The sequence below is a fragment of the Homo sapiens genome, chromosome 15 (assembly GCF_000001405.40).
Source record: "Homo sapiens chromosome 15, GRCh38.p14 Primary Assembly".
Taxonomy (NCBI): Eukaryota; Metazoa; Chordata; class Mammalia; order Primates; family Hominidae; genus Homo; species Homo sapiens.
In genome coordinates, this window is record NC_000015.10 from 68,966,205 (window position 1) to 68,993,107 (window position 26,903).

Consider the following 26,903-nt stretch of genomic DNA (forward strand, 5'->3'; position numbering starts at 1 on the left):
TTATTTCTGCCTTAATTTCATTGTTTAGCTAGAAGTTGTTCAGGAACAAGTTGTTTAGTTTTTATGTACCCATGTGGTTTTGAGAGTTCTTCTTGGTATTGATTTCTAATTTTATTCCACTGTGGTCTGAGAAGGTGCTTAATATAATTTTGATTTTTCAAAAATTATTGAGACTTTTTTTAATGACCAAGCATATGGCAAATTTTAGAGAATGTTTTGTGCACAAATGAGAAAAATGTATATTCTGCAGTTGTTGAGTGGGATGTTCTGTAAATGTCTATTAGGTCTATTTCCTCAAGAGTCCAATTTAAGTCCAGAGTTTGTTAGTTTTCTGCCTCAGTGATCTGTCAGTGGGATGTTGAAGTCACCCACTATTATTGTATGGCTGTCTATCTCATTTCTTAGGTCTAGTAGTATTTGTTTTATAAATCTGCATGCTCCAGTGTTGGGTGCATACACATTTAGGATAGTTAAATTTTCTTGTTGAATTGAACCTTTATCATTATGTAATGTTCTTTTGCATATTTTTAACTGTTGGTTTAAAGCTGATTTTATCTGATACAAGACTAGCAACTCCTGTGCTTTTGTTTTCCATTTCCATGATATGTCTTCTTCCACCCTTTTACTTTGAGCCTGTGGATGTCATTACACTTTAGGTGGATCTCTTGCAGGCAGCAAATGATTAGGTGTTGTTTTTTCATCCAATTTGCCAATCTGTATCTTTTAAGTGGAGCATTTATAGGTTGTTTACATTCAATCTTAATATCAATGTGTGAGATTTTGTTACTGTCATGGTGTTGTTATCGTTTTGTAGTCTTAATTTTGTAATTGCTTTATAGGTTCTATGAACTTTGTACTTATATGTGCTTTTACGGTAGCCAGTATTGTCCTTCTGTTTCCACGTTTAGAATGCCCTTGAGCATATCTTGTAAATCCGGTCTGGTGGTGAAGAATTTCCTTAGCATTTGATTATCTGGGAAATAATTTCTTCTTTGTTTATAAAGTTTAGTTTGACAGGATATTACATTTTTGGCTGGCATTTGTTTTCTTTTAAAAGGCTAAAAATAGGCTCCCAATCTTTTCTGCTTGTACGGCTTCTGTGGAGAAGTCCACAGTTAGTCTGTTAAAGGCAGCTAGGGCAAAGGACCAAATGTGAGTGTCATTACACACTAGTTGGGTGTCCTGGAGGCAGCAGACGATTGGCTCTTGTTTTTTCATCCAATTTGCCAATCTGTATCTTTTAAGTGGAGAATTTAGGCTGTTTACATTCAGGGTTAATCTTGCAATGACACCATATTTGGCCCTTTTCTCTAGCTGCCTTTAAAATTTTTTATTTAATGTTGACCTTGGCCTTGGTGATTTTCATCTTTTATGGTATCTTGCAGGTGTTCTCTGAATTTCTTACATCTGGATGTCTACCTCTCTATCAAGAGTAGGGAAATTTTCCTGAATTATTCCTTCAAATTTGTTTTCCAAGTTGCTTACTTTTTCTTCTTTTCTTTCAGAAATGCCTGTAAGTCATAGGTTTGGTTGTTTTACATAATTCCATATTTCTTGAAGACTTCATTTATTTTTAAAATTCTTTTAATTTGAAAGCCTGTTCTTTGAGCTCTGAAATTCTTTTTTTCTGCTTGGTCGAGTTAGATAGTTTCTCAGGTCCTTTTCAGTTGTCATATTTTCTGAGCCTTTTATTTTAATCTATTTGCATTAGAAGAGTATTGATCATTAACATTTACAAAATATTTAAAAATTTTTGAATTCATATAATCCAAAACAGAAGGAAAAATATCTTGATCTTCTTAATATTAAAAATAATATGATTGATCAACAAAATGGCAAGGTCTCTTCACTGCACAGAAACAACAATACAAGCAGAAACTGTCAGAGCCAACTGTATCAGAATTCTGGAAAACAAAATTTTATAGCAAATAAGTAAAAGTGCTGAATCAGGAAAAAGGCAACTTTTAAATGGTGGGGAGGTTTTGTGGTGTTTTAACTTTTCCCTGCTTCAGCCCCTCCCTAGCTCAGCCATGGTCTTGAAGATGGCAGTTCACATTGCCAGTGAGGGACCCTGTTTCCTGATTCCAGAGGGAGCACAGAAGACCTTATTCACACATTATTGTGTTTGCCTATTCTAACCTATGTAAGGACTCACTGAATGACTGATATGAGGTGCCCTTGTGTGTTATACTTAACTCAGAACTCATCAGGTGGAAAAGCAGTAGGCACTGTCAAAAACATTGTAAGACAAATGAAAACCATACAGCAACCTGGGGCAAAAGACAAAATAGGCCACCTAAAGCCTGGGAGGAAAAGATAGGAAGAATGTCTTTGAAAAATTAGGACTTTCAAAAATGCCTGTGTATTTTGATGAATCTAGAAAAACATACACATGCTCAGAAAAGACCTGAGAGGACCCTAAGCTTTCACTCTGACTGATCTCTAGGTTCAGTACAAGCAAGAAGTGAAGGCTACGGCAGAGTTGTAAACAGCCTGGCTAAGTGTTGAAGGAGTGCCACTGCACAGAGATAATCTGCAAAGAATAGAAGTGGTTTTTAAATTTATTTGTTTGTTTTTAGCTACTGGCACTTAAGAAAATCTGTGTCAAAACACTAGTTAAACACAAGCTAAAGAAACATAGACTTTAGTCACTAAATATGACAAGGAATACAGTCTTTGCAAAAATAATCTGGAAAAGTCACTAAACAATGGCTGACTTCAGCCTTCAACAATAAAAAAATGACAAACTCTGGGAAAGGAAATATCTGATTTCCATAGTTACCACATGATAATAGTCAAATGTTGAGTTTTCAACAAAAACCAAAAGACATACAAAGAAATAGTAAGTCCAGGCATTGGATTTACTAGACAAAGAATTTTTGTCGACTGTCTTGAATATGCTCTAAGAATGAAAGGAAACCATGGACAAAGAACTAAAGGAAACTATTAAGTAAGAACAAAATGAGAATATCAGCAAAGAGATAGAAATTACAAAAAGAAACCAAATAGAAATTCTGGAGCTGAAAAGTGCAATAACAAATAGTATACTCACTAGAAAGATTCAATTTGATTAGGCAGATTTAATTAGGCAGAAGAATGAATCAGTGAACTTGAAGATAGGATTACTGACATCACCCAAGTCTGAGGAGAGTAGAAAGGAAAAAAAGAAGAGGTGAACAGAGCCTAAGGGACCCATGGGACATCATTAAGTGTACCAACATATGTATTTTTGGAGTCCCAGCATATAAGAGAAGTAGGTAGACTATTTGAAAAAATAATATCTGCAGGTGCCCAGAATTTGATGAAAGACATGAATCTTCATGTCCTAGAAGCTCAATAACTCTAACCAAGATAAACTCAAAGAGATCTGCACTGAGACATGTTATAATCCAATTGTTGAAAGGAAAAGACAAAGAGAAAATCTTAAAAGCAGCAAGGGAGAAGTGACTCATTATATACAAGGGATTCTAACTAAGGTTATCAGGTATTTCTCCTCAGAAAACATGGAGCCAGAAGGCAATGGGCTGACATATTTAAATGCTGAAAGTAAACAAAAACTGCACCTATAATTTTATATTCAACAGAACTATTCTTTGAAAGTAAAGGAGAAATTAAGACATTCACTGATAAACAAAACCTGAGGGAGTTTACCAGTAGACCTGAGTTATAAGAAATACTGGGAATTCTTCCAGCTGAAATAAAAGGACACTAGACAGTAACTCAAAGCTGTATGGAAAACATGTTGATCTGTAGTAAGGGTAACTGTATAGGTAGATATAAAAGTCAGCATTATTTTATTTTTAGTTTCTAACTCTATTTTTATTTCTTACATAATAAAAGACAAATGCATTTAAAATCAGTTATTAGTTACACAACGTATAAAGATATAATTTGTGACAACAACAACATAAAGGGACAGAGACAGAGCTGTATAGGAGCAGGGTTTTTGTATGTTATTGAAGTTAAGTTGGTATCAATTCAAACAAGATTGCTACAAATTTAAGATGTTAAGTATTATCCCTCTTATAGCCACTAAGAAAATATCCAGAAAGTATACACAAAAGGAAATGAGACAGGAATCAATATTGTTCACTACAAAAAAATCAGCTAAACACAAAATGAGACAGGAATAGAGGAAATGAGAGACAAAGGTATATAAAGCATACAGAAAACAAACAAAAAAAGAGGCAGAAGTAAATCCTTCTTTATCAGTAATTAATTTACATGTAAATGAGTTAAATTCTCCAACCACAAAGCAGAGGTTTGTAGAATGAATGAATACAACTAAACAGGACTAAACTATATGGTATCTAAAAGAGGTTCACTTTAGATCCAAAGACACAAATAGGTTGAAAGTGAAAAAAAGATGAAAAAATATGAGGCAAGGGGATGTTCAAAGAAATAAAATAACATGTCCAAAGACACAATCCTAAGTGATGGTAGAGACAACATGATAATCTACAGTTTCTGATTTCCAGTCTATTACTGTTTCTGCCATCTAATTTTAAACTCCCTTATTTTCCTACAATGGGTTTTCCCTTCCCCAATTTTTATTCATAGTATAAACATAATATAAGGAAAAATTTACAATCATCCCCTTGCCTCAATAGAAATATTTCTCTTTAGTTTATTTTAGTCCTTGCTTATATGGATACATTATTGCAAATCAAATTATACTGCTTATATTGCAATGCTGCCTTTCCATCAAGTACACATTATTTTGTCACTACTTAATCATTTTTAATGTTTACATAATACTCCATTGAGTTTACATGTTATTATATACTGCACCAATCCCTAATTATTAGAAATTAGGTTTTCCTAGTTTTAAAAATAATACAACTGTATGGATCATTTTTAACAGTCTGACTTCTTTTAAAAAATAATTTCTTAGGATTAAACTCCTGGAGAAGGGTTAAATCATGATCTTTAATATGCTTTTCCAAGTTATTTTCTAATTAGGTTATATTTAACCTTTCCATTATTATAAATCTACCACCCCTGACCATAAGAATAAGGTTTAAGACTCCTAAACATATTTTAATATTTAATAATGGCCACAATATAGCAGAATAGAAATTTTTTTAAAATGCAGAGAAAACAACTCATTTCATTTTTGCATTTTCACTGTTGACCTTTGTACATATGATCATCCTTTTAAACTTTCACTCATAGATAATGATAGTGACTAATTCTTTTAGATAGAATAACTGTAATTAGTTTCATATACATATTAGCAGGCATTATAGCAAAACTTATCCAGAATAGAGTTAAAAGAATATTGTTGAATCTCTAATAGTATTCTGATTTTTCAATTTAAATTCCTGATTAAAATAGCAATTTCAAAATTAGAACAGTAAGATAATTCAGAACAATATATAAACAGTATGAAATGTTAATTCATCTGTATCTCAGCTTATTATTTTAGATAGCTAAATTTATCTGTAATTTCATGGCAAAACTAAAAAGTTATGCCTAAATGTTGGACTTTTTGGACTATTTCATAAAAAATTAATTTTCCAGATAACCAAATTTTATGCCTTTAAGTACATACTTTTATTTTGGCATTTTTGAGGACATTTTACTCTTAAGCAAAGTATATTGAACACTTTCTCTGCCTTAATAAAAAAGTATTCTGAACAGAAGTTGATCTTTCCTTGACTCAGGACCTTGTCATCATTTTAAACAATGTGTTGTGTGGGATTATAATGGTACCTGGAGAGCTAATAATAGTACCTGAAGCTAGTAAGATGTAAAGGCTTTTTACAACCATGCTAAGCGGTTCCAGTATGCTGTACTTTTGGGGAGTATTTGTTAATATTCTTATTTATGTTTTCTCCCCATCATGTAATGCGTCTACCTCCAATTACCTCTCTGTTGTCTGTTTCAAAAATGGGCTGGGCTAGGAAACCCAGATAACAGAGTGAGAGTTACGTATGAAATTAAAAGCAAATGGGTTTTTATCTTTGGTAGAGTTCTCTTAAAAATTTTTTTTATAAAACCATTCCTATCTGTTAGTCACTGCTCATGATTAGGTATAGAGCCAGACCTCAGGCCATCTCTCCTTCCTCACAACATGGATAACCATGTGTACTGCTCAGAGTTCTGCCCACTGAGAGAATTTCTCTTCACCACTGCCTTTCAGAGCCACCTGGGAGGAGGATTTGTGGTAGTCTTCTAAGGCTGCCATAATAACGTACCACAAACTGGGTGGCTTAGATAACAGCAAGGTATTATTTCACAGTTCTGGAGACAGGAAGTCCAAAATGAAGGTGTGGGCAGGGTTGATCTCTTCTGAGGGCTATGAAGGAAGGATCTGTTCCATGCCTCTTCCTGAGCTCCTCTGTGCTAGCTTCTTGGGGGTTGCTGGCAAGCTTTGGCATTCCTTGGTTTATAGAAACATCACCCTGATCTCTGCCTTCATCTTCACATGGCATCCTCCCTGTGTGTGTGTGTGTGTCCAAATTTCCCCTTTTCATAAGGACACCAGTCATTTTGGATTAGGGCCCACTCTAACGACCCAATTTTAACTTGTTTATCTCTGTAAAGATCCTATCTCCAAATAAGGTCACATTCTGAGGCACTGGGGTTTAGGAATCTGCAATATCTCTTTTGAGGGACACAGTTCAACCCACAACAGGACAGTGGCTGCCTACTTCTGGCTGGTGCCGGTATACAGAGCTGTAAAGAAGAACTGTGTTTTTCTTCCTTCATTAGTGATCTTAGGGAACTCCCCAGCAAAGACAGAGGCAGGGCCATAGGGGAGGCTGAGCCACCTGCTCATGGAATTTCCTTAGGCATTTCAGACCTGCTTGGGCTGGGTCTAATGTAAATTGTTTCCATTTTGTCGGGGGACACTGCTATCCTTATCCAGTTTTATGCTTTTTGGATCATAATCAGTTCGTTGTGGATGGTTCATGGTCAAGCCTTTAGTCACTGCCAGGGCCTGTCACAGGCCAGGCTCTGCCCTTCCAATGGAGGAAAGTGTGGGCAGAGGATGGTGTGGCTTTACTTCGAAGTTTGTGTGGTCTGCTGAGTGCTTCTTACTGTGTTTGCCAACCTCTGTGTAGCATCTCTGCCACCACAGACTCTTCCAATATCATCGGATCCACTGAGTCCTAAGGTACAAGAGTTAGGGCAGCTTGTACAGTACCCTGGACCTGCGACAGAATCCTTGCTTATTCAAAATGGGCAACATTACTTTTATGTATGTATGTATTTATTTATTTATTTTTGAGATGGCGCCTCACTCTGTCGCCCAAGCTGCAGTGCAATGGTGCAATCTCGGCTCACTGCAAGCTCCGCCTCCCGGGTTCATGCCATTCTCCTGCCTCAGCCTCCAGAGTAGCTGGGACTACAGGCACCTGCCACTACGCCCGGCTAATTTTTTGTATTTTTAGTAGAGACAGGGTTTCACCATGTTAGCCAGGATGGTCTCAATCTTCCGACCTCATGATCCACCCACCTCGGCCTCCCAAAGTGCTGGGATTACAGGCATGAGCCACCCTGCCCGGCCAACATTACTTTTATTTTTAAATTTTAAAGTAATTATAGGTTTGCATGAAGTTGCAAAGAAATGTACAGAGAAGTTCTGTGCATCTTTCCTCCAACCTCCCCCAATGTTGACATCTGGTGTAACTATAGTACAATATCAAGTTAAGAAATCGACATTGGTACAATCCACAGAGCTTATGCAGATTTCACCCATTATTTGAGTACTCATTTGATTGTGTGTCTCTATGTGTGTATGAGGGTGGGATGTATAGCTCTATGTATTTCTATCACATGTGTAGCTTCATGTAACCATTACCACAATCAAGATGCTTAACTCTGTTATCACTGCAAGATTCCCTCGTAATACCTCTTTACAGCCATATCTACCTTCTCCCCTCCCATATCCCTAACCCTTGCAACTACAAATCTGTTATCTTTATAATTTTATTATTTCACAAATGCTGTGTAAATGGAGCCATACAGTATGTATCCTCTTGAGGTTGGCTTTTTTTTTTTTTTCACTCAGCATAATTTCCTTGGGATTCATCCAAATTGTTGCATGTATCAACAGTTTGTTTCTTTTTGTTGTTGAGTAGTATTCCACAGTATGGATTCACCAGTTTGTTTAACCATTCTTTAGTTGAACAACATTTGGGTAGTTTCCAGGATTGAGCTATTACAAATAAAACTGCTATGAACATTTGGGTGCAGGTTTTTGTGTGAATATAAATGTTTTTTCATTTCTCTGAGGTAAATGCCCAAGACTGCAATTGTTGGGTTGTACTGTAGTTGCATGTTTAGTTTCATAAGAAACTACTACCAAACTATTTTCCAGAGGGGCTATACCATTTTACATTCCCACCAACAGTGTATAAGTGATCAGTTTCTCTACCTCCTGGCCAGCATTTGCTGCCACTATTTCTATTTTAGTCATTCTGCTGTGTGTGTAGTGATAGCTCATTGTGGTCTTAATTTCCATTTCCCTCTTGCCTAATGACAATAAACATCTTTTCTTTTTTCTTTGAGACAGGGTCTCAATCCATTGCGCCCAGGCTGGTATGCAGTCATGTTGTATCTGGAATTGGTGGGTTCTTGGTCTCACTGACTTCAAGAATGAAGCCGCAGACCCTCGTGGTGAGTGTTACAGTTCTTAAAGGTGGCGTGTCCAGGATTTGTTCCTTCTGACGTTCGGATGTGCTCGGAGTTTCTTCTTTCTGGTGGGTTTGTGGTCTCGCTGGCTCAGGAGTGAAGTTACACACCTTCGTGGTGAGTGTTACAGCTCTTTGGGCGGCGCATCTGGAGTTGTTCATTCCTCCTGGTGGGTTCGTGGTCTCACTGGCTTCAGGAGTGAAGCTGCAGACCTTTGCGGTGAGTGTTACAGCTCATAAAGGCAGTGTGGACCCAAAGAGGGAGCAGCAGCAAGATTTATTGCAAAGAGTGAAAGAACAAAGCTTCCACAGTGTGGAAGGGGACCTGAGCAGGTTGCCACTGCTGGCTCAGGCAGCCTGCTTTTATTCTCTTATTGGGCCACACCCACATCCTGCTGATTGGTCCATTTTACAGAGAGCTGATTGGTCCATTTTACAGAGCACTGATTGGTCTGTTTTGACAGGGTGCTGATTGGTGTATTTACAATCCCTGAGCTAGACACAAAAGTTCTCCACGTCCCCACTAGATTAGCTAGACACAGAGTGTCGACACAAAAGTTCTCCATGTGCCCACCAGAGTAGCTAGATACAGAGTGTTGATTGGTGCATTCACAAACCCTGAGCTAGACACAGGGTGCTGATTGGTGTGTTTACAAACCTTGAGCTAGTTACAGAGTGCCGATTGGTGTATTTACCATCCCTTATCTAGACATAAAGGTTCTCCGAGTCGCCACCAGACTCAGGAGCCCAGCTGTCTCCACCCAGTGGACCCCGCACCGGGGCTGCAGGTGGAGCTGCCTGCCAGTCCCGTGCCATGCGCCCGCACTCCTCAGCCCTTGGGTGGTCTATGGGACTGGGCGCCGTGGAGTAGGGGACGGCGCTCGTTGGGGAGGCTCGGGCCATGCAGGAACCCATGGTGTGTGGGGGAAGCTCAGGCATGGTGGGTTGCAGGTCCCGAGCCCTGCCCCACGGGGAGGCAGCTAAGGCCTGGCGAGAAATCGAGTGCAGCACCAGTGGGCCAGCACTGCTGGGGGACCCAGCACACCCTCCGCAGCCACTGGCCCGGGTGCTAAACCCCTCACTGCCTGGGACCGGCAGGGCTGGCTGGCCGCTCCGAGTGTGGGGCCCGCCAAGCCCATGCCCACCCAGAACTCCAGCTGGCCCACAAGCGCTGCCGCAGCCCCGGTTCCTGCTCGTGCCTCTCCCTCCACACCTCCCTGCAAGTTGAGGGAGCCAGCTCTGGCCTTGGCCAGCCCAGAAAGGGGCTCCCACAGTGCAGCGGTGGGCTGAAGCGCTCCTCAAGTGCCGCCAAAGTGGGAGCCCAGGCAGAGGAGGCTCCAAGAGCGAGCGAGGGCTGCGAGGGCTGCCAGCACGCTGTCACCTGTCAATGTGACCATGGCTCACTGCAGCCTCAACTTCCCGGGCTAAGGTGATCCCACCTCAGCTTCCTGAGGAGCTAGGATTATAGGTGCATGCCACCATACCCAGCTAATTGTATTTTTTATAGAGATGGGGTTTTGCTATGTTGCCCAGGCTGGTCTCAAACTCCTAGGCTCAAGTGATCTCTCACCTTGGTTTTCCAAAGTGGTGGGATTACAGGTGTGAACCACTGTGCCCGGCCATGGACATCTTTTCATGTGTTTATTTTACCCCTTTGTGTCCTCTTTGGTGAAGTGTCACTTGGATTGTTTTTTTTTTTTAATGTTGAATTTTGAAAGTTTTTAATATATTTTTAGGCGCAAATTTTTGGTCAAATATGAGATTTTGAAATTTTTTTCCAGCCCATAATTGTCTTTTCATTATCTTAATAGGGTTTTAAATATTGCTTTACATTTTGATGAAGTCCAATTTTTCAATTTTTTTCTTTTATAGATGTGTTTTTGGTGTTAAGTCTAAGAACTCTCTGCCTAGTTCTTTTAGAGTTTTACATTTTCCATTTAGGTCCATGATTCATTATGAGTTCATTTGTGTAATGTATAGGATTTTATCAAAGTTTTTGTTTTCCCCCAACATGGATGTCCAGTTGCTTCAGCATCATTTATTAAAAAGGCTCTCCTTCTTCATTTGAAATGCTATTGCTATTTTGCTAAAGATTAATTTGGTACATTTCTGTACACCTATGTCTAGGTTCTTCATTGGTCTATGCAACTATCCTTCTCCAAGTACCACTCTTGATCACTATACTTACATAGTAAGCCTTGACACAGGGAGAAGTGATTCCTCCCACCCTATTCTTCTTTTCAAAATAGTTTTGACAATTCTTATCAGGGGAACCCACCCCTGATAATTCAACGTTATTTCACGTAGGTTCTTTTCTATTTCCTTAAGTGTCAGCTGGTCTGAGAAATAAAGGGAAAGAGTACAAAAGAGAGAAATTTTAAAGCTGGGTATCCAGAGGAGACACCACATGTTGGCAGGTTCCATGATGTCCCCCAATCTGCAAAACCAGAAAGTTTTTATTAGTGATTTTCAAAGGGGAGGGAGTGTACGAATAGGGTGTGGGTCACAGAGCTCACATGCTTCACAAGGTAATAAAATATTACAAGGCAAATGGAAGCAGGGTAAGATCACAGGACCGGGGCGAAATTAAAATTGCTAATGAAGTTTTGGGTATGCATTGTCTTTGGTAACATCTTATCAGGAGACAGGGTTTGAAAGCAGACAACCGGTCTGACCAAAATTTATTAGGTGGGAATTTCCTCGTCCTGATAGGCCTGGGAGCGCTACTGGAGACCGGGGCGTGCTATGGGAGACTGGGGCTTATTTCATCCCTTATCTGCAAGCGTAGAAGACAGACGTTCCCAGAGCGGCCATTTCAGAGACCTACCCCTAGGAACACATTCCCTCTCTCAGGGCTGTTCCTTGCTGAGAAAAAGAATTCAGCGATATTTCTCCTATTTGCTTTTGAAAGAAGAGAAATATGGCTCTGTTCCACCTGGCTCTCAGGCAGCCAGATCTAATGGTTATCTCTCTTGTTCCCTGAACATCACTATTATCCTGTTCTTTTTTCAAGGCGCCCAGATTTCATATTGTTTAAACAATTTGTGCAGTTAATGCAATCATCACAGGGTGCTGAGGCGACATACATCCTCAGCTTATGAAGATGATGAGATTAAGAGATTAAAGTAAAGACAGGCATAGGAAATCACAAGAATATTGATTGGGGAAGTGATAAATGTCCATTAAATCTTCACAATTTATGTTCAGAGATTGCAGTAAAGATAGGTGTAAGAAATTATAAAAGTATTAGTTTGGGGAACTAATAAATGTCCATGAAATCTTCACAATTTATGTTCTTCTGCCACGGCTTCAGCCAGTCCCTCCATTCAGGGTCCCTGATGTCCCGCAACAAATTCTAGAGTCAGTCCCTTCCACATAAGTTTTAGAATAAGCTTGTCTATGTCTACAAAAACAACCTTGCTGAAATTTTGATAGGAATTGTGTTAAATATATAGATCAATCTGGGGGGAACTGGCATCTTCACTAGGTAAGTCTTCCAATCCATGAACACAGTATGTCTCCCCAAGTACTTGCATGTCTTTGTTTTTTTCATCAGCAATTTGTAATTTTCATCATACAATCCTGTACCTAAGTATTTCATTATCTTTGGAGTGATTGTAAATAGTACTGAGTTTTTAATATTTGTTTTCCTGTTCATTGTTAGTATATAGAAATGGAATTGATTATTGTGTGTTGGTCTTATATCCTTTGACCTTACTACACTTGCTTATTAGTTCTAAGAGGATTTTGGAGGTTTATTTCTCAGAATTTTCTTCATAGGCAATCATGTCATGGAAAAGCCTTACTTTAACCCACTAAATAGATTGTAGCAGCATGTCCAACTGTCACATGGGTTGCCTTCAAGATGCAAAGAGGCCACCCTGCTTTGTGCTTTCCCCTTTATGGTGGCAGGAAAATTGTGTCTTACTTTAAACAAGATATTCCAATATACACCAGACCCTTGAACTCCTTGGAACTTCATTGATGTGATTGGCCACTGAGCTTTGGAGGAATTATTTCCAACTGCTGGCTGACGTGTCATAAGGCATCTAGGGTGCTTGCTACGTTCCACTCGCAAGTCCAATAGGCATTCTGTCACCAAAGCAGTGGACCTGCATGATGTCCTTTGGGATATCAAGATGATCAGGATACTTCTGGACCATAGTATTATAATGTTCTATAGTCCCTGCTACGTGAAGGTGAACTGCTTCTCATTTTTTTCTTTAACTAACGGAGAAGAGGGAAAATCCATTTGTTTCATCAACACAGCTAGGGAGCTAGGGGCTGTGTTCATCTGCTCCAGTAAAGATACCATCTGGAATTTCTGCAAGTGACATCACCATCTGATTGTGTGTGAAGATCTGCTGTTATCTTCCACAATTCATCAGGCTTTTTGCACCAGCCAAAGATAAAAACCATCATTGCATTTGGGGATGCAATGGGAACCACTGTGCCTGCATCTTTCAGGTCTGTGATGGTGGCACTAATCTCTGCAATTCCAGCGATGTGGTGTTGCTGTTAGTTTACTATCTCAGTGGGAGTTGCAATTATAGAGGCTTCCATTTAAACCTCCCTAGCTATACTTAAGACCCACTCTTGACAGGCAGTGGCATTTTAGGTATCTGTGGATTAGCATCACTCAGGAACAGTCTCTAACAACCCTTAGAAGATATGGGTATTCTCTTTTCCATAGTGCTCAGTGCTCAGTCACTCTGTTAAATGACTCTGGAGAAGACCTAGGGGAGATTCACACAATCTTGTTGCAGAGTCCTTCCTCAAAAAGACCTGGTCTGTTTTTTGGCCAAAGAACTTGTGATCTGTGGACTAGCTTAGGTCTAGGACCTGAGTAAGAGGATATAAATCATCATATTCAAGTAAGATTTCTGTTCCCCCAGACCCAGAATTTTCCTGCATGCACATGTTAAGCAACCTTTTAGTAGACTGCTTACTGGGTCACATTTTAGGATCCAGCAATTAATTAGCCATTGCCACAGATCTGTGCAGGCCAAAGCCCTTTGTTTACCACCCCATCCCTGTACTTATTGTGATAATTGTGCCCACTTGGTCTGTGATAGTAGAGCACTGCCATCTGGCCTCTGCTACTTCAGAATCTCACTATACCCACTGTGAGCAAAGAATGTAATTTCGTAATCTCTCACTAGTGTCATCACCTTGGAGAGCACAACCAAAGCAAAACTATTCAAGGATGCTGGCATCTCCCTCTTCAAGGTACCTTGGTGAAGGGAGTGTCTTCCAGGCCATCCCAAGGAATATGGTTGATGAAGAAGGGATGCTAAGCAGATTGCACAAAACAGATCCTTGTGAATCTTTGGATCTTTTATGTATCCTAGGGGAATTTTTCCTATCTCTGAATCTTTGGACCCTTTCCATGTGCCAGGAATCTTGTCATTACCCATAGACCAGTATTAAGCTTGCTCCTAACATTTGTGGTGACCAGGAAAAGGGTACAAATGGAGGGTCACATACATATATTTGTAAATCAGGATAAAAAACAAATAAAATGTTTTGTCCTTCTACCTTGAAAAATGTTACAGTTTAGAATGTTCATACTTAGGATTCTCAGAGAAACTTTGGAATTCCACTATGGAGCATGGTGGCACTGCTCCATGAGGAAGGGCCTGGGAGAGGAGCAGGTCTAAGGACAGCATTGGTCACTGTCGAGTTCAGGCTTCATTTAGAGAATCTCGCAGACTATTTGTGCCCCTCTCCAGTGCTTAAGCCATCATATTAATTCCTGAACTTGAGTGAGTGCACTCAAGTTAATGAATTCAGCTGCTTCCAGGGATGTATTAGGACCAGTGGATCCCAAGGTCATGTGTCCATTGTCACACCTCCTTTATCATAAAATGGGTACCTTAGTCCAGGGTGATGTTATATAGGATACCCTTTTATAAAGCAGGCATGTGTAAGCCCTCAGATGGTAATGCTGGATAGAAAACAAAAATGGATACAGTGGATACATTGCATAGAGAAGAAAAAAAATACAATGGATAGAGAAGAAAAACCCATATCCAAAGAAGATGCCAGTCCCAGGAGGGATGAATCACTGCTTCCTGCATGATGGAGGGGTTTCATGTGATTAGCTGGCTGCTCTATTCAAGAGATGGCACCCTACTGGTGGCTCAGGTCCAGTCTATGTAGCTCTATAATCACTCAGTCAGTAGTGGCAATAATTAGATCAACTTTGGTAAGAGAAAGCTTATGTTTTTGGGCTAAAACATGGTCTCACCCCTGCCACTATGGTTTACTCCATTCTTGGAATCATTTTATAAGCACTGAGGTAGCCAAAGACAGAGGCTAGCTGACATCCACTGGATGTACCATCTTATTCACTGGTTTTTCAGTATCTCCTCTGAAGTGGATACTCTCAGGTAGACATTGATGGACAGACATAGTTCCACAAGCTTATGCCCACCCTCACAGGTCATCTATATGTCTCTTTCCCACATCTCCTAGTCTCTACTCTTGCTCCTTTTAGTTCATTTGTCATTACACAGGAGTCCATGTATATCCTTACTTCAGGTTATTACTCCCTCCTTATAAAATTGATGATTAAGTGTTCTTAAAGCTCCACCTGTAAGATTTCTCCTCCCCACTGCACCACCCGATATTGTACTTTAGACACAACAGATGTTCTGCAGCAGTAGCAGCAGTAGTCCTTATTGGCTCATGCCAGCATGCTAGCCTGACCCATTCATGAATTAGACCCAGGTGTTTTCTTCCTCCTTTATCTGGTCATAGGGAAAATTTACAAGGTTTGAGCTAAGGTGTTGATGCAATGAATGGGGGAGGCTTGGAGGTTTGGGTCACCTGTTTATGTAGCTTTTTTGTGCCCAGGGTATTCATGAATATGATCGTCTCCTGCATCTTGGTGAGGTTTATCTCTTACCCTCTAGCACAATTCCTGAAAATTTTCTGCTTCTTGTTCACCATATCTAATTAATATGATGTTTTATCATTATGGTGGATGAGCACAATATTCTGTGCAATGTAAAAATGATCAAAGTCCCTGTGGACTATATTGTAACAGAGAACAAGAGAGCTAACATAGCCCTGGGGTGAGAGGATAAATTTGTATCTCTGTCCTTTCCATATGTATTATCTTCATTTGTCCTTCTTTATTGATGGAGATTTTAAAAATTACATTTGCCCAAACATTAGATCTGTTGTAATAAACATGTAGCAGCTGGCATGGCAGCTGTAATTGGAGCTACCACTTGGTTAAGTTTTCAGTAGTACATCATTATCCTCCACCATCTGTTTATGTTTTGCAGGAACCATACGAGTGAATTGAATGGGGAGGTGCGATGGGAATTATCACCCCAACATCCTTTAAATTTTCTAGAGTGACTCAGCAAATGCTCAAAGATTCATTATTTCTATTGATTTGCCATCTTGGTTGTTGAGGGAGGGTGCTAACTTAGGAGCTTTCGCTTGCCCTTCCTGTATAATGACGCTAATGCCCCAGGTCAGGAAAACAATGTGAGGACTAAGAGTTGCTAAGAAAATCCATGTCAATTATATACTCAACATTGGGGAAATCACCAGAAGGGGATGTTATGGACCCTTTAGAACCACGGCGAGATAGACTTGAGCAAGGACTCAATTTATCACCGTGCAGGGCCAGGACTAGGGTGAGGCAAATGAGCACCTAGCATGCAAGTTTTAAGGAAATACTCACAAGTGCCAAACCTGCACTTGCACAACCCTGAGAGTGAGTGCTTCCTCAAATGTTGTGACCTCAGCACCTTGTTTGTCTCACCCTAGTCCTGGTCCTATATTCAAGTATAAAGGTACTGCACATCCCAGTACCTCCTCTGCCTCTTTTTTTTTTTTTTTTTTTGAGACGGAGTCTCGCTCTGTCGCCCAGGCCGGACTGCGGACTGCAGCGGCGCAATCTCGGCTCACTGCAAGCTCCGCTTCCCGGGTTCACGCCATTCTCCTGCCTCAGCCTCCCGAGTAGCTGGGACTACAGGCGCCCGCCACCGCGCCCGGCTAATTTTTTGTATTTTTAGTAGAGACGGGGTTTCACCTTGTTAGCCAGGATGGTCTCGATCTCCTGACCTCATGATCCACTCGCCTCGGCCTCCCAAAGTGCTGGGATTACAGGCGTGAGCCACCGCGCCCGGCCCTTCCTCTGCCTCTTATATCTCATCCAAACCATAGAAGAGTCAATAATCCAAGAAAGCAGTGATAAGAGAGTTTGGAGAGTAAGACTGCAAGTGAAGGAGTATTTCTGAGTTGTTATCTCTGTGGGGAACTGAGGTTTAATAACCCTGAGAAATCATGAATTATGTACCTCGGAATTATCCCATTTGTGGAGGGGAAACTCCCTTGCAATAAGAGGCTGTGCATTCCAGCAGGCTGAGCATGTTCTTATGGTTCTGGAGAAAGCTCTGAGGCCGAAGAATGGTGAGTGTTTCAGATGGGAAGCCATCAGTGTGCCTGGGACTGTCCTGCACAGCTGTGGCTGACATTAGAGCTGGGCTGAGAAGATATGGCATGGAGTACCAACAACACCTTCTAATCTACTCTGTGTCATTACTAGTAATAACTTGAGTACTTATGATGCCACCATATGCCATGGATTAACTGCTTTCTCATTTCTCCCAGGCAAGGAGTGTACATCCTTGCACTTCTCAAATATGTGAGCAATCCAATTCTAGAATCACATTCTGAGGGTCTGTTCTTTGGGGCCACTTTCTGTAAAACTTAGGAAAACAGATGACCTTCCCAAATTAGGCGATTTAAAGAGAGTTAATAAAGATACTTTTTACAAAGTTATGGAGAGGGATACCACAAAGAAGAGTGTGGTATCTTATGGTGAATAACAGCAGAGATATCATTACTTCCTTTAACTACATGGAGGGAGGAGAAGGAGCCTTTACCAGAACCTGGAGACAGAACTGTGTGGAGAGGACCAACTAATAGATCCGCCTAATAGGAGCTGCCCCCTTAGATAGAGAAGAGCAGCTAGCCAGCTATGATTCTTCCAGAGGGAAGCCAGGGGTGTAAGTACCTGGCCTCACTCTCCATCTCTCTGATCTCCTGTGCCCACTGGTTAACTGCCTGAGAGCAAGGGAGCCCACTGATGCTGCCTGTCCAGAGAGCAAGGGAGCCCACTGATGCTGCTTATCCAGGTCAGCCTCCTGGGTCGCTCATTTCTAGGGTGGAGACAGGCAGATAGTAGGCCTGAAGAGATAAATCCAGTACACATTGCTTAAAAGGAAACAAAATAGCTTTAAAAGAACCAGTCTAGAACTGGCTCCTCGGTGAGAGTATATCCCACTGAAGAAGGAATTCATGAATTTTACACTATGTAAAGCCAGAAAATTAACTTTCCCCTCAGGGCTTAGTGTAGTGTAGCATCCCCCACCCCCCCACCATATTCTAAGTTAGAGAAGAATACTAACTGCCTATTTTTCCTTCTGTGCTCAGTGAGCCTTATCTGTTCTCACTGGTTTCACATTCCTTGAGGCTCAGCAAGTTCTTGCTTACCTCCCCAGCACAGCTGCAAGGTCATAAGATTGATAAGTATATGTTACAGAACCATGTATTCCCAAGAATGTAAGACGTGAAATAACAACTGCCTTTGTTCTCGCTTCTGTAAGTATGCTTCCTGCATCATGTAGCTCTGGGCCACTGACTGCTTAAAAGGTGGCTGCTTTCTTTGTCCAGGGCTCAGACTTTCCTGGACGCTAGTCCACCTGAGCCAGATGATCACCTTTTAATAAAGGACTCTCCTGAACTCTGTTCATTCTCTCCCATCTTTGATTGTCCCACAACACCACAACTCATGGTCCAGTCATCTGGCCCATTTTGTTTCGGTGTCATCCTTTCTGGTGTGTAGGACAAGGATCTTTGGGGGAGTGGCATATTTGCCTACTCTTTATTTCAGAGTTGTCTATGTGAGTAATAAACTGTCTGAATCTGAAAGTAGCTCACTGTATTTTTACTCGCTGAATCATGCTTTGCCTTCCCTTGTATGCGCTTGACATAGAATACTACTTCCTTCTCCAAAATCTGTAGGTCCAAGTTCTAAGCAATTGCTGTGATTCTGTTGTGTTTAATATTCCATATGTAAACTCCAGATTATCACATTTGTATTACTTATCTATGTTACATGGAATTTAATTTGGAGAGCTTGGCTGGGCCCGGTGGCTCACGCCTGTAGTCCCAGCACTTTGGGAGGCTGAGGCGAGAGGATCACTTTAGCCCAGGAGTTCAAGACCAGCCTGGGTAACACAGCAAGATCCTGTCTCAAAACAAAAATTTGGAGAGCTCCCGGTAATCGAGTGCTGAGTCTATGTCAAAGACGTGAAGACACGGAGAGCTCTTCTCCATGAGCAGCTGACATTGCTATGTCAGAGGAGGGCAGATGGACTTTCTGGTCAGGGTCACCAAGACGGCATGTGAAGGAGGTGCCAACCAGTGGACTTTGGGCTTCACTTTCAGTCATAGAAACGTCCTCTCTGCCCAGGATCCATAGGAACTGTGACAGTGTGGTGTTGAAAATCAACATGTCCTTCAAAAAAGCCTAAAATGTGACAACTTAGAAACACAAGAGGATGCCCTAACCCACCAGCAAATAAGAAAAAAAAAAATTGAAAGCATCTGCGTGAAATCTCTCAGAATCTTAGTGTGTTAAAATCAGAGGAGATCTACGAGCTAAACTAATGCAAGCCCCCCATTTTACAGATCATAAAACTGAGGCCAAGGGAGGGGAGGACCTTGCTCATGGTCACCCTGCATGCTGGTGGCACATCCAGGACTAGCCCCAAGCCCACCCACAACCCTCCCCACTCTTTGGACGAAGGGCATCACACTTCCCTTTTCTCATTCTTGCTGCTCCTAAGTGCTTATCTGTTGGATTTTACATGTGTATTCCATTAGATCTAGTCCTCCTACCATTGCCCTGGTTAAAGCTGTTTTTTTTTTTTTTTTTTTTTTTTGCCACGATGTTGATGATGGCGATGACAATATTAATAATAGCAGCAGCTAACCCTGATTGAGCCCTTCCCACTCTTCAAGCCCTATTCTAGGCTTTACAAGTATGAACACTTTAAAATCAAACAGCCCTTTGGGGAAGGAATTAGTATCACTCTAGTTTTATAAATGAGGAAGCTGAGGCACAAAGAGGTAAAGCAATTTTCTCTCTCAGTGTCAAGAGTGGTAAGTATTGGAGCCATAATTTAAGTCAGGCCGTCTGACTTCAGAGTTTATGCTCTCAAAGACTTTATTAAACTGCCTTTAATGTATATTAACATAATGGTTAACATTATTACACCATTTACAGATCAAGGAACTGCATCCTGATGAGATTAAGCAAGGTCACAAGGCTAGTAACAAGCAAAATTAGATCTCAAACCCGAGTGTCTGACTCCAAAGCCCATGCTCTTAAACACTAGGTGTGCCTCTTTCTTGTCATAATAACTTCCTCACCTTAGACTTGCTAAAAATAAATCTCCAACAGAGAGCTAAAAAAGCTGTATTTCTAACTAGCACACAAGTTTAAAAATCACTATCAGTGGTCAAAGTTAAGGTACTTTGGAATCAAACAGTATAGAGCGTGGGATCCTGGGCCTATCACGTAACCTCTTTAAGCCTCATTTCTCTAACACAGGGATAGTAATTATGTGTAATGAGAGCTCGCATGTGTTAACTGCTTACTGCTACCCAAGCCCAGTGCTTCATGGGCATGACCACGTTTGATTGAAGTACCCATCTCATCAGGTTGTAGTGAGAGTTAAGTGGGTAACACAAGCAACTTGCTGCCACAGTATCTGCAGCCAGTAGACACCCAAGAAGTGTCGACTGGCTACTGTGAGGACTCTTGGCCCTTTTTGTGTTCACCTCCCTTCTGGGTAGGAAGCTTCCTACACCTATGATGTGTGTCTTACTGATTTTTGTGTCTCTCCAGAGTCTGCCTCGTAGCTGGTCTCCAATCAGTCTGTATAAATCTGTTGACATGAATGTCAAAGTGCATCCTCTGCTAGGCTTTGTGACCCCTGAGGGTTTTCAGGCTGACATGAGCCTCTTGCCAGATTTGTTCACACTGTTCCCAAATTCTCCCCTGAATAGTAGCAATACATACATATTGTACATACATACAACACACACATACGTACATTCAGTGATGATGTTTCTGCTTTAGGGTTAAGGGGCAGTGTGGGTTGATTTTTGAAGGTTTTGCAGATAAGAATGGACAATTTGGGCGGCTTGGACAAACCACTGTCACAATATCATATAAAGGAGGCTGAGATGATCGTGGCCAAGGTTCCAGAGAGTGCTTAGATGGGAGACCTCCCTGGCTTAGTCACCTGCATTTGATTTCTCACAGAGGCTCATCTTGCTATGGGAGTGCTTCTCTTGCTGTCACCTATAAAATGGGGTAACCATTGCCTTCCACATCAAGGGGTGGCTTGAAGACCAAACCAAATGATCGCATGCTCATGGAGGCTTTTGTCAACCATTAAGCTCTGCATCAGCGCAAGACGTGGGTCAGATGGGGGTTTTAGTTCTCAGGAAGGAGGTGGTTTCTTCCCACTGTGGAGGCTTCCTCTCCCAGGACTCAGGGCCGCACCTTCTCTAGGTTCTCTCCTCCTGCTTCTCTGTCATTCAGCTTAAGCCGGGCTGAGCAACTTAACTTGCTTCTGAATCTTTTCAGACCCATGTTCCTTATCCTTGCCCCCTGCTTGCAGATTCTTAGCTAAGCTTTTAACTTTTCTACCTCAGTCTTTCTGGTGTTCCGGATTCTACTCCAGCAGCGCCCTGCATCCTCTGGTAAGTTTCATTTGGCAATCTTGGGCAGGGACCACTGCCTGAGCATGCAGCCATCTTGGGGCAGGAGTCTATTCTTGTCTTCCTTTATTAAAAACATGCGTGCCAAAAACATGCATGCCACTCACCTCCTGGAGCATTCTGTCACATGTCTTGTCTCAGGCCAACAAAATCCCACCCTTCATAAGAATTTGATTTCTTTTCTGACCTCATGTCATTCCATAAACATGATTTTCTGGTCCCTTGGGGACCCTCTGAATATCTCCAGCTAGGGGGGATCTAACCCAAACTACTGGAAAACACAGCCTGCTGCTGACACTAAGAGCTACTTCTCAGGAAGCTGCAAGTGACACATATGTGCAACACCTCAGTGAAGTCCCTGGCAGGTCACACAGGAGAGCTCTGCTCCCTGCCACTTCACTTCCAAGCCCCGGGAAAGTGTTTGAGGAGCAGGGACTGTCTGAGCCCAAGCTAAGCCATCATATCCCCTGTAACCTGCACGTATACATCCAGATGGCCTGAAGCAACTGAAGATCCACAAAAGAAGTGAAAACAGCCTTAACTGATGACATTCCACCATTGTGATTTGTTTCTGCCCCATCCTAACTGATCAATGTACTTTGTCATCTCCCCCACCATTAAGAAGGTTCTTTGTAATCTCCCCCACCCTTAAGCAGGTTCTTGGTAATTCTCCCCACCCTTGAGAATGTACTTTGTGAGATCCACCCCCTGCCCACAAAATATTGCTCCTAACTCCACCGCCTATCCCCAAACCTATAAGAACTAATGATAATCCCACCACCCTTTGCTGACTCTCTTTTCTGACTCAGCCAGCCTGCACCCAAGTGAAATAAACAGCCTTGTTGCTCACACAAAGCCTGTTTGGTGGACTCTCTTCACACGGATGCACTTGAGAAATTTGGTGCTAAAGACCCGGGTCAGAGGGACTCCTTCCGGAGACCAGTCCCCTGTCCTCACCCTCACTCCGTGAAGAGATCCACCTATGACCTTGGGTCCTCAGACCAACCAGCCCAAGGAACATCTCACCAATTTCAAATTGGGTAAGCAGTCTTTTCACTCTCTTCTCCAGCCTCTCTTGCTACCCTTCAATCTTCCTCTCTCACTACACTTCAATCTCCCTGTCCTTCCAATTCCAGTTCTTTTTCCTCTCTAGTAGAGACAAAGGAGACACATTTTATCCATGGACCCAAAACTCCAGTGCCGGTCACGGACTCGGGAAGATAGCCTTCCCTTGGTGTTTAATCATTGCAGGGATGCCTGCCTGATTATTCACCCACAATCCACTGCCTCAGCCTCCCAAAGTGCTGGGATTACAGGCGTGAGCCACCCCCCCCAGCCAGGACTCCCTTTTTTCATTCCAGACCAGCCTGATCAACATAGAGAAACCCCATCTCTACTAAAAATACAAAATTAGCTGGGTGTGGTGGCGCATGCCTGTAATCCCAGCTACTCGGGAGGCTGAGGCAGGAGAATTGCTTGAACCGGGAGGCAGAGGTTACAGTGAGCTGAGATTGCACCATTGCACTCCAGCCTGGGCAACAAGAGTGAAACTCTCTCTCAAAAAAGAAAAGTGGGGAGTCCTTCTACTTCCTGCTTGTCTTCAAGGGCCCCCACACTGATATTGCTCAACAGATGAAATATAAGCAATGGTTTTGCCTGAGCCCAAGTGCTTTGTCCCTATCTCAGGTGAATGATGGGCTATCTGATGTTGTGAGAAGACAAGACTCATACACAGAGAGAACAGAGAGAAGCTGCCATTTCTGTTTTAGCCAAGCAGGCAAGTTCCCATCAAAATAAGAGGAACTCCAGAAAGTAATGATACATACAGCCCATTATTAGGTAAGTTTGCTATTGAACAATGATGCTCATGTATGGGGCCCTGTAGAATGTACAAAACAGACCTTCAGCTGGACACAGTGAGGGAAGGACCTGGAAGTGTGTTCTAGACACTTTAATACATTCACCCCACAAGGCCCTGGCTGCCCACCCTCCACCACTCAACACATTGTGCATACACACACACGTGCACATACATGCATGCATGCATGCACATACACTTGGCCACTCCTCTCCTTCTCTCCTGCACATCCCTGAGGCCACTTGACTTTGCTGCTCTTCTGTCCAAGACCACAGTCCCTGCCCAGCTTCCAGATGTACAAAGGAGAGCTTAGACACTTGAGGAAAATGGCTTTCAGCTCTAACAGCCTCCCTGGTCTCACAGATCTGCTGGTGTTGACCTTTGGGGACTAAAGAATTGCTACGTCTCCCCCTGAGGGGCCTGAACTGGGGTGGAGGTGTGGTCAGCTGGGTGGAAACCAGTTCAGATAAAAGTACAAGAGCCACTTTAAATAGTAAGGTCTGATGGGAAACAGGGAAACTGAACACAAAGGCAACCTTCTGTGTTGACAAAAACAAGGCCCTCCAGGTCCTGGCACAGGCCAGAGGACTCAAGTAAGGACCTATGCTGATACAGCACAGAGTGCAGGAACACAGGATTGGGGGTCAGACAGCTTCAAATCCTGGCTCTGCCCCTTACTGGGTTTGTAACTCTGGGTAAATTGCTTGATCTCCCCAACCCTCAGTTTCTTCATCTGTGAAAAAGGATGATCCTTATCCTTGCCCCCTTGCCTGCAGATTCTTAGATGAGCTTTTAACTTTTCTACGGAAATCAATCTTTCTGTTGACAGCTTCACAGAGCTTTCGTCAGGAAGGCACAAGACAAAGTCTGTGGTCATATGGCAGGCACATGGCCCATGGCAGAAAAATGCATTTCTCAGTGTATTGGCCATTGGCTATGTCTTTTTATTTTCTGTATTTTGATGCTTTGCATCCTTGCTGACCCTGGAGGGACTGCCCCTCCTAGGGTTAGCCAGTTCCTACAGAGAGCAAACAATTTGCCTAGAACATGACTTTCATATGCAAACTAACCAAACCCTTGCTCTTACCCCCACCCTCCTCCTTTATCAGGCCTTTGTACTGCAGGCCACTATCCCCCTGCCTTAGTCACCCATGAGCTGGGTACCAGACAACAAGGGACAGCCCCTGTGTCCCAGAGCCCTCTGAAATTACTTAAAAGAATCAATCCTAAGTGTGCCAACCCTGCCTTGCTCATTCCTTCTTGTGGAAGTCATGACAGAGTCTCTTGCCCACGTTTCTCCTGCTCCTCTCTGGCTCTTGAGCAACTGGCACTTTCTCATGTGGCTCTGAGTGGTGGGCGGCGCCTCCTGCTTCTAGGGATCTGTATAGGTAACAAACGTCCCCCTTCCTAATGGTCACTTTAGTGTCTGCGTGTCATGTCATACTTGAGTAGAACCAACTCCACCTACCCTTCAAACAGCTAGGCACAGACCGAAATACGCACTCTACAGGCAACAGCTTGTTGATCCTCAGCACAATCTGTCAGGTTGGTGCTGTTATATTTCACAGAAAAGGAATCAGAGCCCTAAGTACATTCAGCTGAAAGGGATAGCACTAGGATTCAGAATTCAGGCATGCCCACTGGACAGCCTGGACTCCCAACCTCCGCCCTGCTCTGCTGCAATCATGATTATCCCTACCTCAGCAGGCAGGCATGGGGGCAGTCTGGGTCCCAGTGAGCTCCTGTGTGAGAGTAGAGGGGAACTTTGTCTCTGGTTCTGGTCCTGAGCAGCCCTCTCTTGAGAGCTCTAAGGAACCACAGAGGAGCTGGACCCCGGGCAGGGAGGCAACCATCTGGAGCATGCTGTCTTGATAGACGTGAAGGGCCCTGGGGTGGCCCCTGCCAAGAATCCTCTAGACAGTGACCTATTTCCAACCATTTCCCTACCATCTTTCAGTCAAGATTTTAGATTATCAGCAACAGAAACCAGCTCTGGGTAACTTAAGCAGCACTGATTGGAAGACTTTGGGCTGGGGGACTGTTCATGGAATTGATAGAGAAGTTGAACAGCCAAGGTCAGAACCTGTGTTGTGGGAATCAGGAGGCTGGAGAGACCATGGAGTGAGACAGGAGGGTTTATTGAATACACTCAGACCCAGTGGTTTAACATCCAAAAACTGGGCCCTGAACAAAGACAGGGTTTGGCTTATATACACACCTTTGAAAGGTGCTAGCTTGAAACAAGCTTACAGTGATATGAAGTGTAGTGGTGCAAAAGCCAGGATACAGAGGCAGAACAGAGGCAGAACAAAGGCAGCTAATCAAACTGTGACAGGTTCATAACCCAGGATTACATGCAACTCTTGCTGTGCGGTCCAGATGGCTGTTATCTAGGCTTACTCAAAAGAGCCTTGCATGGGCTTATCTCATAATGTTCGCTCTGGCACCCAGACGGCCGCAGCCTAGGCCTGCTCAGGCATGTCTTATAACCTTCACTGTGCTCCTCAGATAAAACAGAATACTTGAAGTTACTAGTTAGAGAAAACAGGAATCTATAAACTCATAAAGCTTGAAGAGCAAGGTACAATCACACAGAGGGGAGTGGGATTTGAGGGGGAACTTCACTTTTTCTTATCCTTATGTTGAGGGAGTGCTGGGAGAGTCTCCAGAGCACATCCCTTTGAGCCCTGGCTTCTTTGAAAATGTTATCAAGACTGCCTGGGTCTGGGCTTTGCCTGCTACTGCCTCTGGGATGTCAGCCTAATATAGAAAGCTTATTTTTCTCTTTTTAATTTTATTTTTCTTGAATTTCCTGCCTCATTTCCCCCCTTTGATGTTTCCTATAAATGGAATTTAATAGAAAGCATCACTATTATTTAGTCCTTCATGACAAGGCAGATCTTCTCTCTTTGGCAAAGGTTTATACTTTGTTAGAGCCATTAGTTGAGTGGTGGTTGTTTTGTCCACTAAGACTTCTATGGTACAATAAAGTCTTAACTACTGTGTTTCCTATCCATGTAGTATGCATGCAGTGAGGGCATCCTTCTATGGGCCCTTCTCCTTCTAGCATGGATATGGGGACCATCAAAAGTAAAGCAAAGAGTAGCATTCTTACACCCAGCATGGGCAGAAGAGATGTTTTCCCAGGGGAGGGGGTTGGCTAAAGCAACAGAACAACAGAAGTACAATTAATAATATAGGAAAGATTATTGGGCCTAAGATTTCCAGCCACATTTACTCATTTGATGATGACTCCTCAAGCTTCAGCCGTGTGTAGACTAGTCAGCTTCTGGGGTGACTAGAGCAGGGTTTGCTGTTTCCTCAAGTTTCCGCCGTGTGTAGACTGGTCAGCTTTCGGAGTGACCAGAGCAGGGCTGTTGTTGTTCTCAGTGGCAACTTGGTCTTGTCACAGGATCAGCCTGGTCAGATGGTCTGGGTCCTGCTGGCAGGTCCACTGGTCCTGGGATGCCAGTTTCAGCCAACTGTGGTGGATCTAAGGCACGATTCCTGCAACTTTAACAGCAGTGGGAGTGGACAAGATTACAGTATGGGGCCCATCGCATATGGGTCCCAGAGTGGTT

The 26,903-nt window shown here is 42.6% G+C and overlaps 1 protein-coding gene across 3 annotated transcripts in view; it reads left to right on the forward strand.

Annotated features, from left to right (window-relative positions):
* Positions 1–26,903, forward strand: part of SPESP1-NOX5 (SPESP1-NOX5 readthrough) — a 132,238-nt gene that overhangs the window by 35,680 nt on the left and 69,655 nt on the right. For 2 of the 3 annotated variants that reach the window (NR_033671.3, NR_033672.2), the window contains exon 2: positions 8,525–8,628. The exons of the other annotated variant lie outside the window; for it this stretch is intronic. The gene's annotated coding sequence lies outside the window, so the exon portion shown is untranslated. The remainder of the gene's footprint in view (positions 1–8,524; positions 8,629–26,903) is intronic. 3 annotated transcript variants of the gene reach the window in all.